Source organism: Homo sapiens, chromosome 10, assembly GCF_000001405.40.
Source record: "Homo sapiens chromosome 10, GRCh38.p14 Primary Assembly".
NCBI classification, from domain to species: domain Eukaryota; kingdom Metazoa; phylum Chordata; class Mammalia; order Primates; family Hominidae; genus Homo; species Homo sapiens.
Genome location: NC_000010.11, coordinates 132,982,061 through 132,996,405, shown reverse-complemented (window position 1 = coordinate 132,996,405; position 14,345 = coordinate 132,982,061). Strand labels below are relative to the sequence as shown.

The following is a 14,345-nucleotide window of genomic DNA, read 5'->3' as shown; positions in this document are numbered from 1 at the left end:
GAAGCATCGCTTTGACACGGGGCAGGAGGTCCCCACCTAGGGGAGGTCGGCGTTGAAAAAATCAGAGGGGTCGTGGAAAGAATCAGGGAGAGGGCCGTGGCACCAGCTTGTGGGGGCACAGAGGATGGAGCCCACGGCATGGGGCCCTAGGTTGCCAGAGGGCATCAGTCTGGCTGGTGAGTTCCTGATTGTGAAGGCAGGTGACCGGCTTGGGCAGAGCGTGCTCTGGAGATGTGACTCGCCCAGAATGGCAGAATGCACAGGCCCCTGGACACACCCCAGGTGGTGGACAGGAAAACCCAGGCCCTCCAGGGGTCAGAGGTGAGGGACAGCAGCCCCAGACACTGCCTGGGCCTCGGGGCAGCGTCTCTCATTCCTCTGAAGGACGGAAGCCGAGGTCTCTGCTGCCCACTGCGCCCCTGCCGCCTGGTGTCGGCCGCTCCTGTCCAGCCCCGGGGTCCCCACACATCAGCAGGGAGTGAGGAAAACAGTGCAGCTGGCCGGGATGCATCCATGCAGCATTTTAGCAACAACGAACACACAGGGTTCTGAACGTCCAGGTCCCTGTGCTGGTGAATGGCCATTGCTGGGAGCCGATGTCTGGAAGGTCCCAGTGCTGGTGAATGGCCATTGCTGGGAGCCTATGTCTGGAAGGTCCCAGTGCTGGTGAATGGCCATTGCTGGGAGCTGGCATCTGGAAGGTCCCTGTGCTGGTGAATGGCCATTGCTAGGAGCTGGCATCTGGAAGGCAGTTGCTCCCTCTGCCAGCCATGACCCACTGGAAAGCCAGAACCAGTGACTTTTGAATCACGGGGTTTTAGAAAACTGTCTTTTGTATTTATTTTATTCTCTTAACAGCAATGACTTCAGTATAGGCTGATTTCTTGCACAGACATGGCAGAAAAGGCTGGAACATTTGGAAAAGCCGTAGAAAGCCGTGAACCAGCTATGAAAGCCCACATGGAGGTCAGGTGTGAGGGGAATGCAGCCGTCCCAGAGGACGCACGGCTGAGCTTGCCCCACATGGAGGTCAGGTGTGAGGGGAACGCAGCCATTCCAGAGGACGCACGGCTGAGCTTGCCCCACATGGAGGTCAGGTGTGAGGGCAATGCAGCCGTCCCAGAGGACGCACGGCTGAGCTCGCTGGGATTTACCTTCTCCTGGGCCTCAGGGATTTCTTCTTATTCCTGGGGAAAATCAGGAATTTGGACAAGCCTTCCATACACAAACTTATAAAAACAGCTCATGGTACCGAAAATGGGCCCATCCAGAGGACACCCTGGCATCCGGGATCCCGCACCCAGGTCCCTGCCGCAGTGGCCAGTACCTCTCCCAGTGCCGAGCCCTGCCCCTGCTGAGCTACCCCACGCTGGGTCCCTTCCGGGCAGCAGCATCTGCAGGCTGTGAGGCCTGGGCCTTCAGAGGCAGAGGTCTCTGTCCCCGAGCTCAGGAGGAGGCCACTGCCGGGACGCCAGGCCGCACAGGCGGCATTTCCAGTACGAAGCACAAATCTGGCCCTGTCAGCTCAGGGCACTGCTGGGAAAAAACATCCCTCGGTTGGTCCCACCGGAATGTGACCTTTTTTAAAGCTTGTCACTTTTACTTCATTAGCATCCGACACCAACGCTCTCCCTGGAAGGATGCAGCTTCAGCCCCCCCAAGTGCAAGGAAACCACACGCTGGGCCTTAAGGAGCCACTCAGCTTCCCTGAGGCAGCGAGCTCGTAATCTGGAGCTACGGGAGGCACCACGCAGCTGGAACAGGAGCTCTGGTGGGTTTGCCCCGCTAATGACAAGGTGTCAGGACTTAATGAGACGCGGAAACGCTGCCTCCTCAGGGCGCATCCTCATCTCCTCTCTCCCTCCCGCCCTTCCCACCCGTCGGCCTTCCCCGCTGCGAGCAGGAGCCGTTCTCAAACCGAAAGCAGCAGCCCGCAGGCAGCAACCGTCTCCAGAGGCTTTGCTCCAACTGCCTCCCGGTCGACCTACTTGATCCTCCTCCTAACCCGGGTGCTGTTATCACCCCAATTTCACCAATGAGGAAAGAGGTGCAGAGAGCGGAGACCCACCAAGGCGGCCCTGTGAGGATCTAAGAGTCCACAGTTCCGCTCGAGAGACAGCCGTCACTCCCGCCAGTGCGCTCTGGGTCTGAGACGTGAAGTGAAGTCACGGATGCTTTTCATGAGCTTTACCTGTGAGTGGGGGCTCGGCAACACCATGGTGAGCAAACGCCCCACATCTCAGGGGATTGAGACCACGAAGGTTTCATGTCACTGTGGGCTTCTTGGGCTGTGCCCCCAGGTCCTCCCTGGGACCCAGATGGCGGAGCCAACCCTGCCATGGCCGCGGCCTGGGGGGCTGAGGCCGGGGCAACGAAGTGGGCTTGAGACATCCCCTGGAAGGTGGAAGGTCACTGCCAGGTGGAATCCTAACTCACTCACCACATCAACCAATGGAGTGGTCAGCGATGGTGACGGCAGTGGGTGGGGTTCCGCTGAGACGCGCCTCGTCACTCGTCTTACTGAATTGACGTTCCCCCCATGAAACCGTGAACCTGCACTGGTGCTGAAGGAGCGTTGCGGTTTCCGCTTATCGGGACTCACCTGCAAAGCATCCCGACGGGCAGTTAAAAGTCCACGCAGTGTGCGACGCTGCCTCACACATACTCACACACACTCACACACACTCCGAAGACAGATGCCGCAGTGTGCGATGCCGCCTCACGCACACTCCGCAGAAGACAGATGCCCACAGGTGGCACCAATGGGGAATTCCCGACTCTCATGCAGTTTCTCTTTCAAAAGGACGTGGACCTCCCAGCGTGGCTCCCTCACGGCCACCACCGTATCCCTGAGCTGGCGCCCCACCAAGAGCAGGACCAGGGAGGCCCAGCCACACCACACAGCACCCTCAGGGGCCAGGCAACATCAGGGAGGCCCAGCCATGCCACACAGCACCCTCAGGGGCCAGGCAACATCAGACCTGCTACCTCCGTGGGCCCTACTGCGGTACTGCCTCCCATAGCAGGCACCGTCCCCCACTCTGGGGAACGTAGCAGGAGCTGCCGCAGGGTGGGAGATGGCCTGGCCTGGCCATGACCTGTGACCCCACGGCTTCAGGAGGGAGGGATGGGGAGGCCCTGTGAGGCCACGGCCATGGGGGACCCTCAGACACAGCTGACTCTCTCAGACACAGCTGACTTCCACCGGCAAAACACACCCAGAGCCTTACGTCTCAGTTCCTTCTATTTCAGAGAAAAGTACATCTTCACAAATGCAGCTGGATCCACGCTGGAACAGAGGCCACTCGCCCAGATCCATCAGCCACGGATGGCCTCGCCCTGAGAGTCTCCGCCCAGGTATGCCTGGAGTCCGCCGGGGGCGGGGCTGGTGCTGGGACGGGCTCAGGGTCATCACAGCACGAGGCTGCGTTCGGGGTCCTCACGGGGCGAGGAGGGGCTCTCGCTGCCGCCTACAGGTGCCCTGAGCTTCCCCTTCAGGCCCCCAGTCCGTGGGGCCCTCCTTCCCAGCCACACAGTTGGTGATGCCGAGGCCCCCTGAGTTCACTGTCTTGGTCCCCATTGGCAGGGCCTGGGGAAAGTCACACCCAGGACCCTCACTCTTCCCCTCAGTGGGGGTGGCCAGGGATGGCCGGGGATGTGCGGGCGAGGTGGGTGCTGGCCTGTCCAGCCTCAAGGACGGGAAGCGCACCACGGCTGCGGAGGTGGGAGGACCCGCGAGGATGCGAACACAGAGAGACCCCACAGAGCCAGACCCTGCTCCGGGAGGACAGAGGAGCCAGCATGAAACCCCAGACTCGGGGCTGAGGGGGTGGCAGCCCTGGGGACCCTGGATGCCAGGGGTCATGGGAAGGCTGCCTGGTGAGCAATGTCCATGCCCCGGCCCAGGGACCCAGGATTGCACACTTGGCAGCGCTCGCACTTGGCTCCCGGGCTGAGGAGTCCAGTGAGCTGCTCCCAGCTTCTGCCAGCAGCCCCTCTGCATCCCACCAGCACCCCTGCACCCACCACCTCCTCCTCTGCACCCCGCCCCCTCCCCCCGCCCCCGCTGCTGCCTCCTCTGCCTCCCGCCAGCCTGAGCCCTGGGGACCGACTGACACCACAGCCCAGGCTGAGGCTGGAACCTGGGACAGTCAGGGCGCCGTCCACCCTCTGTCCTCGAGGCTCCCTCTGTCCTCGAGGCTCACAGGCAGGACACCTAAACTACAGCCTGAGTGAAGGACGCTGGGACAAGGCCACCGTGGCTGCCCCTTTTGCAGGAATGTCCAGTGGCCTCCATTGCTTGGGGGATGGAATTTAGGTACCAGGGAAAAGTGGTCTTTGATTGGGTGACCCCCAGGCCCCCTACCTCTGTCTCTTTGTCAACTGACATGAATCCCTCCCCATCTCCTACTGTGAGCAGGGCCCAGCAGCCACAGGGTGGGAGGCCTGCTAGGACTCAGCTGCTCTGCTGACTGCCTGTGACCTTGCCTGGCTTCTCGCTCAGACGCTCACTGAGGAAACAGGTGCCCAGGTGCAGACCACACAACCTGCCGTGATTAAAGAGACAAGGTCTGCTGGCCCCGGGTGGACTCCACCCAGGTCGGACGCGAGGGGCTCCAGGCACTGGGGGGCCATTGGCGCCTGTGTTTCCTTTAATCATAAATCATTCCACTTTCGAGCAGAGAATATGAGTCCCCCCAGCACACACACATTTCCTGCATATTCTTTCTTTGGATCTGTATTTGGGCCTGGGTCAGAGTGGAAATGCCCCATGCAGGAAGGTTTCCTTGGCGATTACGGTCCCTCGTGGCACTGGTCAGTGTGGCTGGCTGTCCAGCCTGGTCAGTCCTGGGGCCACAGCAAGTTCAAGGGCTGGAGGAGCTGCCCTGAGGCCCAGGCCTCACCCCCCTCATTCATCAGAGGCTGAGGGGGCACCAACTTGCTGCCAGGCCTGCTCCAGAGGAGGCCCACGGGGAGCAGCCTGGACGGTTCCCTTCACTGTCACTGCAGCATGAAACAGAAACAAGAGGTGAGAGTGAGGGAGGCCGCCGAGAGCATGGGTGGGGAGGCTGCAGAGCCAAGAGCACCCCCAGGGAGGTGGGCGCCAGGAATCCAGGGGCAGGAGGGCCCCAGCAACTGTGACGGGGGTGCCAGCCGGGGGTGTGTAGCTTCCATGACAGGGAGCCTGGTGTGGGCCTCAGGCCTCATGGGAATGGAGCCCCCTCCTTTGACACCCCATCTGATTGTTAAGGGCTTCATTAGCATTAAAAAGTAATGTAAAAAGTTCTTACACAAATCATGGGGAATTGGATGTAACGGGGTAAAGATGCTTTTGGAAACATGTTTATCCGACAGTGAAACCACTGGGCACAGTGCCCAGTGCTGAGCGCTCCATCTGCCCGGGAAACACACGGGTGTGGGTCTCCTCCATCCACTGAGGCAAAGCACCCCATGTCCTCTTCGAACGAGGGATGGAGCCCGAGGGACTGGCGGGACCTGTCACACATGTGGCCACATGCACGTGGGGTCTCGGGACTGGCGGGAGCCGTCACACACTCAGGGTCTCGGGGCTGGCGGGACCCGTCACACACTCAGGGTCTTGGGGCTGGCGGGACCCGTCTCACACTCAGGGTCTCGGGGCTGGCGGGACCCGTCTCACACTCAGGGTCTCGGGGCTGGCGGGACCCGTCTCACACTCAGGGTCTTGGGAGAGGAGGGCGAGAAGGGCAGGATGTACGTGGTGGAAAATGCCTGTTTAGCAAAGGAAGGTGCCTCCCATCAATGAGCTCAGCTCTCACTGTAGGAAAGTGGGGAAAAAAGAGCAAATTAAATCCAGAGCAAGCAGAAAGAAAGTGAATAACAGAGATCAGAGCAAAAATCAGTGACACAGAAAACAGAAAAACAACAGAGAAAACGGATGAAGCCGAAATCTGGCTCTTTGAGAATATCAATACAACGGATAAATCTCCAGCTGCAATGAGCAGAAGAAAAGGAGGGAACACAAAATAACAATATCAAGAATGAGAAAGTTATTTACAATAAAAGAAAATATTGGTCAATCAGCCTTTATCGCAGTTAAAAATGTTTGCCCTTCGAAAGGTGCGGTTAAGAGAATGAACAAGCAAGCACCTGAGCAGGTGAAACTGTCTGCGATGCCCGGATCTGGGAAGGGACTTGTATCTAGAATAGACGAGGAACTCGTCGCCCAGAAATAAGACAACGAACAACCTGATACAAATACACACCCCCGGTTCCAGCAGACACTTCATTCAGCAAAGAACACACGCAAACAACCAGCAAGTACGCGAAGAGACAGTTCACACCGTTAATCCACGTGGAAACGCACATTAAATCGCGGTGCACCTAATGGAATGGCCAAAATTAAAAACACAAACGCCGACCGGGCTAGGGCTGCTGAGGGCGGGAGGTACCGGAACACGCGTGCTCTGCTGGCGGGAATGTCAAGTGGAGCAGTTGCTTGGAGAACAACTTGGCAGCTTCCTGGGCAGTTAGACGGCGTGTGTCACCTACAACCCACCCATCCCACTTCCCGTTGCTTCTCCAAGAAAAATAAGAATGTGTTCCTACCTGCACTTATGCAAAAATATGGGTAGCAGCTTACAGGTCGTGGTGAAGATGCAATGTAGCTCGCATGTCCCTCAGCAGGAGAACGCACCCTCGTGGTGGCACGTCTGTGCAGAGGGCACGGCGCTTCGAAGGAACAGATCCACCCACGACACACACCGAGCACCACGGTGGCTCCCGAGAGCCGAGTGGAGGAGCCACAGCCCAGATCCCATGTGTGGGCCACGTCCACAAAGTCCTACACAAGACAAGGCCCACCTGCCTGGCGGAATAGACCCAGGGCTGCGGGGGGCTGACAGCGCACAGGCTTAGCACCCAGGGGCCTGAGAAAACTTTTGGTGTGAAGAAAATAGTTGTATCCCGATTGTGGGGTGAGAGTGGTGAGGGCACCCACCAAAACACATCAACCGCCCCTCAAACGTGTGCATTTCATTTCTGGAAAGTGTGCCTCGGTGTGGTGGATTAAACGAACGAATATTTGCTATGAACCAGATCTTCAAAGCACCCGGCACCCACTGTTGCCCCACACACTGTCTTTCTTCCCAAGATAAGAATTCCCATTCTCCCGCCACCAGCTCCACACCAGGGCACAGAGAGGGGAACAGCAGCTCCCCAACAAACTGGCCTCAGGCCCCTCCCAGTAAGGTCAGCACCCCCCCCACCGGGCCTCGGGCCCCTCCCAGTAAGGTCAGCACCCCCCCCACCAGGCCTCAGGCCCCTCCCTGTAAGGTCAGCTACCCCCAGGCCTCAGGCCCCTCCCTGTAAGGTCAGCTACCCCCAGGCCTCAGGCCCCTCCCTGTAAGGTCAGCACCCCCCCCCCCCCCACCGGGCCTCAGGCCCCTCCCTGTAAGGTCAGCTACCCCCAGGCCTCAGGCCCCTCCCTGTAAGGTCAGCTACCCCCAGGCCTCAGGCCCCTCCCTGTAAGGTCAGCTACCCCCAGGCCTCAGGCCCCTCCCTGTAAGGTCAGCTACCCCCAGGCCTCAGGCCCCTCCCTGTAAGGTCAGCTACCCCCAGGCCTCAGGCCCCTCCCTGTAAGGTCAGCTACCCCCAGGCCTCAGGCCCCTCCCTGTAAGGTCAGCTACCCCCAGGCCTCAGGCCCCTCCCTGTAAGGTCAGCTACCCCCAGGCCTCAGGCCCCTCCCTGTAAGGTCAGCTACCCCCAGGCCTCAGGCCCCTCCCTGTAAGGTCAGCTACCCCCAGGCCTCAGGCCCCTCCCTGTAAGGTCAGCACCCCCAGGCCTAAGGTCTCTGCCTGTAAGGTCAGCACCCCCGGGCCTCAGCCCCTCCCTGTAAAGTCAGCCTTGGCCTCAGGCACCCAGCTGCTGGTGGTGCCCCTCGTGCAGCAGGAATCCTGTACCCTGCTCCCCACATTCGGCGCTCATGACGCACAGAATCCGGCAGAAGACAGCCACCCCCTCATGTGGCACCCCCGGCGCAATGGTGCCGAAAGCCAAGGCAGCTCTCAGAGGGTTCGGAGGCGGATTTGCTTCCTGTGACCACACGAGCTTTCTCTCCACAGAATCCTGGTGATAACCAGCAGATTCAAAACCCGGGCACTGCCATCTGGCTCCGTGAGTGGTAATTATGTCACTTGTTTCTTTTTAAACTCCACATGCCTGGCATTCATTCTGTTTCCAAATCTGTTCCCGCGTTCCGTTTTCATCTGGTTCCAGTTAAATGTGCATTTTGTTTATTGAGTATAATTTGGCTGCATAGTTAAAATATATCTTGATGAAGAATGGCCTTTAACGCTGATGTGGATTGCCGGCGATGGATATAGCATCCTCTAACCATACATTTTTTTAAACCCTCTCTGGCTTGTTAAGTTTGAATGATGCTGTGGAACGGAGTCTGGGCCAGGGACTTCCGCTGGAGATGATTCAGCATTGAGGACAAAGCCAAGCACATGAGTGGATGGGGCTTGTGTGCAGCGGGGAGGTGCCCAGGGCCACTGCCTCTCCAGGCCGGAGTTTAAGAGGTGCTGTCTTGGCCGGGCGCAGAGGCTCACAGCTGTAATCCAGCTACTCGGGAGGCTGAGGCAGGAGAACTGCTTGAACCTGGGAGGCAGAGGTTGTAGTGAGCCAAGATCGCAGCACCACTGCACTCCAGCCTGGGCAACAAGAGCGAAACTCCATCTCAAAAAAAAAAAAAAGAAAGAGGTGCTATTCCAAGAGGACTCCAAGGGCCGCTTCTCCCTGAGATGCCTGGTCCTTCCTGCCGGGGGCCTGGATGGTACCAACATATTTCCAGTCTCTCGGAGGGGGCCGACTCCTGCTGCCCCTCATGACGGCCCCAGACACATCCTTGGGACGGGTGTTCTCACCAGCTGAGATTCTCACACATGCTGGAGTCTGAGCACCACTAACCTTCTCCTCCCATGATCTCGAGACTTTACGAACGGATGTCTCCTCAAAGTCCATGAGGAAGACCATAGAGACCACTGACGTGTAAACCTCTTTTCCAGAATTGGCAATGACAATCTGTGTGAGCCACTATCGGGTATAAATTGCCATGTCAGTTGTTTATAAGAACTTATACTTGATAGCACTTTAAAGCTCCTCATTCCAGCTACGGCTCTCACCAGCGTCTGTCACACCCTGACATTCATTCCAGCTACGGCTCTCACCAGTGTTTGTCGTATCCTGACATTCTCGGGTAATTTTCGCAGAATCAGATCACGTGTGCTGAGCCAGACGTGCCGCCTGCAGCAGGCCACGCAGAAGAGTGAAATGAAGATGCGTGGACCCATCAGCTTCAGTTCCCAAAGGACAGCGAGACCACAGAATTCTCAAATCAAGATCTTCAGGCAGGATAGCCCCTGGCCCCAAGAGTTCAACTACACGCATCAGAAACACCTTTGTGAATAAAACACTTTGGGAATGTTCAAAACTCAAGGAGAGAAGACTCTGGAAGCCATGAGTGCCAGTGAAGTCCCTGTGGACTGTGACGTGCCTCCCTTCTCACAGCAAGAGCGTCACCAGCCCAGCCTCCGCCACCCGGGCCCACAGGCAAGACCAGCTTCCACAGAGAGGAACGGGTGCCCGCTGCACCTGCTGGCCTCAGCCAGTGCTCAGGACCCCCCAGCACCAGCATCGGCCACACCCACCCTGCTGGTCTGGTGCCCTGGAGGCCTCCCAGAAAACGGCAAAGGGCTTGTGACCTGTCCCCACCCTCAGGGGAAGGTCCCATCCCTGTCCCTGACCCTCAGGGGAGGGGCCAGGAAATACTCCCTGTGTTTCCTGGGAATGTGCTGAGGCCACATCTTGCTGGGAGAACCCACTGAGTGGGTTTGGAAATGGGACCCCATTGACCTCACACTGAGCTTGGTACTTATAACTGCTCTGTGGAGTCAGGCATCCGGGGAAAGGAGCTCTTGGCACCTGCAGAGCTGCAGCGTCCACACCCTTTGAGCAGGGGCTCCTGGAGAGAGCTCAGTGACGCCTGCCAGGCCTCTCCCCACCACCCACCCAGAGCCGCCCCTTCCTCCAGCTGGGCCCTGCTCTCAAGCTTAGATGATCATGCCACAAACGAGGAAGCCGAGGTCCAAGACCCCCGGGACCTGCCCAAGTAGCCAGCCTTGGACAGGCCAACCCTCCCTCAGGGACACCCTGGCCAGCCATGCTGGGACACAGGCCCCACGGCCAACACCTGCAGCCACTGCTGGGCAGGAAAGCTGGGCTCCCATAGACTGCAGAGTGCAGTCATGCTGAGGACAGCCTAGGGCCCCTTGACCAGCCCCTCCACTCCTACCTGGATCCTCCCTGACTCCCCCTGCACCCCCACCCTGTCTCCTCCCCCACCCCCTGCACCCCCACCTGGACCCTCCCCGAGCCCCCTGAACCCCTACCCTTTCTCTTCCCCAATCACCCTGCACCCCCAACTGGACCCTCCCCGACCCCCTGCACCCCCACCTGGACCCTCCCTGACCCCCCTGCACCCCCACCCTGTCTCCTCCCCGACCCCCTGGACCCCCACCCTGTCTCCTCCCCGACCCCCAGCAGCCCCACCCTGTCTCCTCCCCAACCTCCTGCACCCTCACCTGGACCATTGCTGACCCCCCTGCACCCCCACCTAGACCCTTCCTGACCCCCTGCACCCCCGCTGCTGGGACCCTCTCCACTGCAGCGTCCAGGCCCCTTGAGCCGCCCATGTCCCCATCTGGTCAGGGCTACCCCACATGCTCAGCTGCTCAAAGTGAGGTCTCAGCGTCATCTCAATTCTCTCTGTAAAGACAGCTCCTCCTCTGGTCTCTGTAATTGGATGTCCTAAAGACATTACCCCATCCACAGACGACCGCCACCTGCCTCAGGCCACTGTCATCTCTGGGGGCCCCTGGCACCCCGCCCCGAGGACCCCGAAGAAAGGAGGGGTCAGCCTTCTCCACGCCTGACCTGCTCTGGTCACAACAGCCCTGTGGGTGGCCATGAGCTGTGGACACAGGAGCAGCTTCCAAGGATCTTCCCAGGCAAGGAATGCCTCAGGGGTTTTCTCTAGCAGGGAACTGCAAATCCAGTGACCAAGGCCTGGGCTTTCCAGCCCTGCTCCCAGGACAGCTCATGTCTGTTGAAGTCCAGCCTCCAAAGGCACCACCCTTCCTGCCGAGATGGGACCAGAGCCGGAGCCCTTTTGGAGTGCGTGCCGGGTGGGGCAGGCCTGAGGGTTCCCAGCACCAGCCTGGGTTCGCCATCCAGACCTAGGGCCGGCCCGCCTGGGGCAACCCACCAGCCTGTTTCTGACGTCCTGGGGCCGAGGTGCCTGGTGTGGGGCCGCCAGCCCTCAGCCTGGGCCGTCAGTTCTCAGGATCTGCTGACCCCCACAGGCGGTGAATCTGCCTCACGGGCAGACGGGCAGGTCCTGGGAGCCCTTCTTCAGCCCCTCCCAGCTGCAGCCGAGCCAAGGTCGGGAGGGAAGAACCTCCCTTCAGCACCTGGAACAGCACTCAACTCCTCCCAGACCCAAGACGCCACTTGTTAACAGAGGTGGGACTTCCAGGACACCTGCGGTGGCTCGAGAAGTGACGGTTTGTGTCCAGTCCCGACGTCAGGAGGACAATCCAAGCCCCGTAGACACTAAACGACAGGGAAGCATCTGCAGCCAAAGCTGGGAGCGTCGGAATGCTGACCCGCATCTTTGTGCCTTAAGGAGAGAAATACAGAAACTGCCCAGCCAGCTTCAGGAGCCCAGGAAGACACGACAGGGGAAATCCTAGGGGCTGGCACACCTTTAAGTGCGGTGAATGAAGGCCCTGCAGCCGAGCCCAGCCAGGGCCAGACCTGCAACATGGGAGGAATTTCTACCGCAAAGATGACAACCCCCCCAGGTGCATGGCTTTTATTTTTATCTCCGAAAGCGCTCGGAGAGGAGGCATTTTGAGGATCTCACCTGTGTTCATCTCAGTGATAAGTTTATGAAGATTTTTAATTTTAAAAACCACACAGTCATTGATTTTATAAATAAAAAAACACTCAAGCTCAAGATGCAGTTAAATGAAAAAGCAGCAGCTTCCCTGATCTGACTCATAATTTAGCACGGCTGAGAGTTTCCAAGGGGTCTGGATTCTCACACCAACAGGACGGTTTGTAACAGACGGCCCGACCCCGGGCACTAAACGGGAGGGACGCAGACGAGCTTACGTCGGCCGCACACCCACACGCGCGCAGCAACTCGCACAGACGCCTGAGCCCACGCGGTCACGCGCGACTGACAGAGAGCCTCGTCCGAGAATTAAACTCGGAGCTGCCGTGAGATTCAGCAGCCCCACCCTCAGCTGAAAGCCGGCGTTCACACAAACACACGTGCAGGAACATTCGCATCAGCCAGCAGCGGGGAGCCCCCCAGACACCACCAATGGCGAGGACGCGTGAACAGGACGTGCTCATCCATGCACTGGAGCGACTAGTGACGAGGACAGGGACCCAGAACCCACGCAGGCTACGGCGTGATGAAGCTGGAAGGCATCTCGCTCCGTGGATAAGCCAGACGCGAAAGGCCGTATGTTTTATGATTCCATTTACGTGGAATGTCCAGAATAGGTCAATCCAGAGGCGGCAAGAGATTCCTGGTTGTTGGGGGCTGGAGGGCGGGAGAAGGGGAGCGGTGGTCAGCTCGGGCGACGCCGTGTTCTGAGCTCAGGGGTGATGCTTGCACAGCACTCTACAAGCCCTGCACACCCAGACTCGCACACTTTAAAATGGCTAAAGTGGTGAATTTTACCCCAATAAAAAAGGGGGGGTGACTATGTCCTATCTGCCCCCACCCACCTATTCTCAAGGCCACCCTGAACGACTGTGAGACCAGATGACCCCGAACGACTGTGAGGCCAGTGTGTGTCCATGAAAGGCCTGCCCAGGACGGTGTCATGGACCGGCCGCCTGAGCGAGCTCTAAGCTGGGGTGTCCAGCCAGGCCTGAAGACCCACTGCCCTGAGGGCCGCAGTTACAGGCGGTGCTGGGAGCCGGAGGGTGGGAGGAGGGTTACAGGCGGCGCTGGGAGCCGGAGGGTGGGAGGAGGGTTACAGGCGGCACTGGGAGCCGGAGGGTGGGAGGAGGGTTACAGGCGGCGCTGGGAGCCGGAGGGTGGGAGGAGGGTTACAGGCGGCGCTGGGAGCCGGAGGGTGGGAGGAGGGTTACAGGCGGCGCTGGGAGCCGGAGGGTGGGAGGAGGGTTACAGGCGGCGCTGGGAGCCGGACGGTGGGAGGAGGGTTACAGGCGGCGCTGGGAGCCGGAGGGTGGGAGGAGGGTTACAGGCGGCGCTGGGAGCCGGACGGTGGGAGGAGGGTTACAGGCGGCGCTGGGAGCCGGACGGTGGGAGGAGGGTTACAGGCGGCGCTGGGAGCCGGACGGTGGGAGGAGGGTTACAGGCGGCGCTGGGAGCTGGATGGTGGGAGGAGGGTTACAGGCGGCGCTGGGAGCTGGAGGGTGGGAGGAGGGTTACAGGCGGCGCTGGGAGCTGGAGGGTGGGAGGAGGGGAAGCCCGTCCTTAGAACACGCCACTGCTCCTAGGCTGGAAACTCAGAGGGTCCAGAGGGTCCACCTGACTTCATTTCAATGACGACATCGTGGCTCTCAGCATCACCGCCCTATCTGCACCTCTGCCAACTCCAGCCTGGCTGTGTCGAGCTCACAGGACAGCTGCCTGGAGTCCACTCCATCGAACAACGGGAAGCTGAGGAAAAAGACAAACAGCAGCAGCGCACAGAGGGAAGGCCAGGCCCTCCCAGGTTTCGTGTCTCTTTTAAAAGGTCCACTGTGCACAGACCTACTTCCGCAGGCAACTGGACCATCAGGTCAGGAGGCAGCGTGCACAGAGACCGAAAGCAAAGGCAGGGCCCGGGGCCTCACGTGCCACGGACACGCCGCGCCCATGCTCTAATGACGCGTCTGTCTCTGCGTCCTGCCCGTGGCCAGCCTTGGGGCGCTGGCGTGTTGCTCGTGGGACTGCCCACGTGGGTTTCATTCCAGGCCTGGTGAGGAGGGAGGCGCCTCCTGTCATCAGGAGTTCACAGCCCAGGGCACCCAGCCCCCTATGGTGCCAGCCAGGCCCCCCACAATCCCCACAAAATATAGCAAACGGGGTAGAGACACCCGCCTCTCCCTCCCTTCTCCAGGAGCCAATTGCCATCAAATACATCAGGAACAGTAACAATTTCTTGAAGGTTTGGGAGGAATGAACCTCATTAATCCATGGTCATGATTTATACAAATCACTTCAGCATTTCACAATGAAGCCGTTCAGCCACTGACAGCAGAGTGCGAAAGCCACC

The 14,345-nt window shown here is 59.4% G+C and overlaps 1 long non-coding RNA gene across 1 annotated transcript, besides 5 other annotated features; it reads right to left on the bottom strand.

The window, feature by feature from the left end:
• Positions 1 to 830: 830 nt before the first annotated feature.
• LOC107984283 (uncharacterized) lies at positions 831 to 2,247 on the bottom strand. Its single transcript, XR_001747674.2, has 3 exons — positions 2,069 to 2,247; positions 1,328 to 1,533; positions 831 to 1,187 (listed from the first exon to the last, which is right to left on the bottom strand). It is a non-coding gene; the product is annotated as an uncharacterized LOC107984283 (long non-coding RNA).
• Positions 1,490 to 2,172: an enhancer, noted in NCBI's record as "H3K4me1 hESC enhancer chr10:134807738-134808420 (GRCh37/hg19 assembly coordinates)". NCBI's record gives its function as "activates a minimal SCP1, AML or CMV promoter by ChIP-STARR-seq in primed H9 embryonic stem cells {active_cell/tissue: H9 hESC(primed)}" and the evidence as "EXISTENCE:reporter gene assay evidence [ECO:0000049][PMID:30033119]".
• Positions 4,538 to 5,039: an enhancer, noted in NCBI's record as "H3K4me1 hESC enhancer chr10:134804871-134805372 (GRCh37/hg19 assembly coordinates)". NCBI's record gives its function as "activates a minimal SCP1, AML or CMV promoter by ChIP-STARR-seq in naive H9 embryonic stem cells {active_cell/tissue: H9 hESC(naive)}" and the evidence as "EXISTENCE:reporter gene assay evidence [ECO:0000049][PMID:30033119]".
• Positions 11,259 to 11,773: an enhancer, noted in NCBI's record as "H3K27ac-H3K4me1 hESC enhancer chr10:134798137-134798651 (GRCh37/hg19 assembly coordinates)". NCBI's record gives its function as "activates a minimal SCP1, AML or CMV promoter by ChIP-STARR-seq in naive H9 embryonic stem cells {active_cell/tissue: H9 hESC(naive)}" and the evidence as "EXISTENCE:reporter gene assay evidence [ECO:0000049][PMID:30033119]".
• Positions 11,774 to 12,287: an enhancer, noted in NCBI's record as "H3K27ac-H3K4me1 hESC enhancer chr10:134797623-134798136 (GRCh37/hg19 assembly coordinates)". NCBI's record gives its function as "activates a minimal SCP1, AML or CMV promoter by ChIP-STARR-seq in naive H9 embryonic stem cells {active_cell/tissue: H9 hESC(naive)}" and the evidence as "EXISTENCE:reporter gene assay evidence [ECO:0000049][PMID:30033119]".
• Positions 12,288 to 12,803: an enhancer, noted in NCBI's record as "H3K27ac-H3K4me1 hESC enhancer chr10:134797107-134797622 (GRCh37/hg19 assembly coordinates)". NCBI's record gives its function as "activates a minimal SCP1, AML or CMV promoter by ChIP-STARR-seq in naive H9 embryonic stem cells {active_cell/tissue: H9 hESC(naive)}" and the evidence as "EXISTENCE:reporter gene assay evidence [ECO:0000049][PMID:30033119]".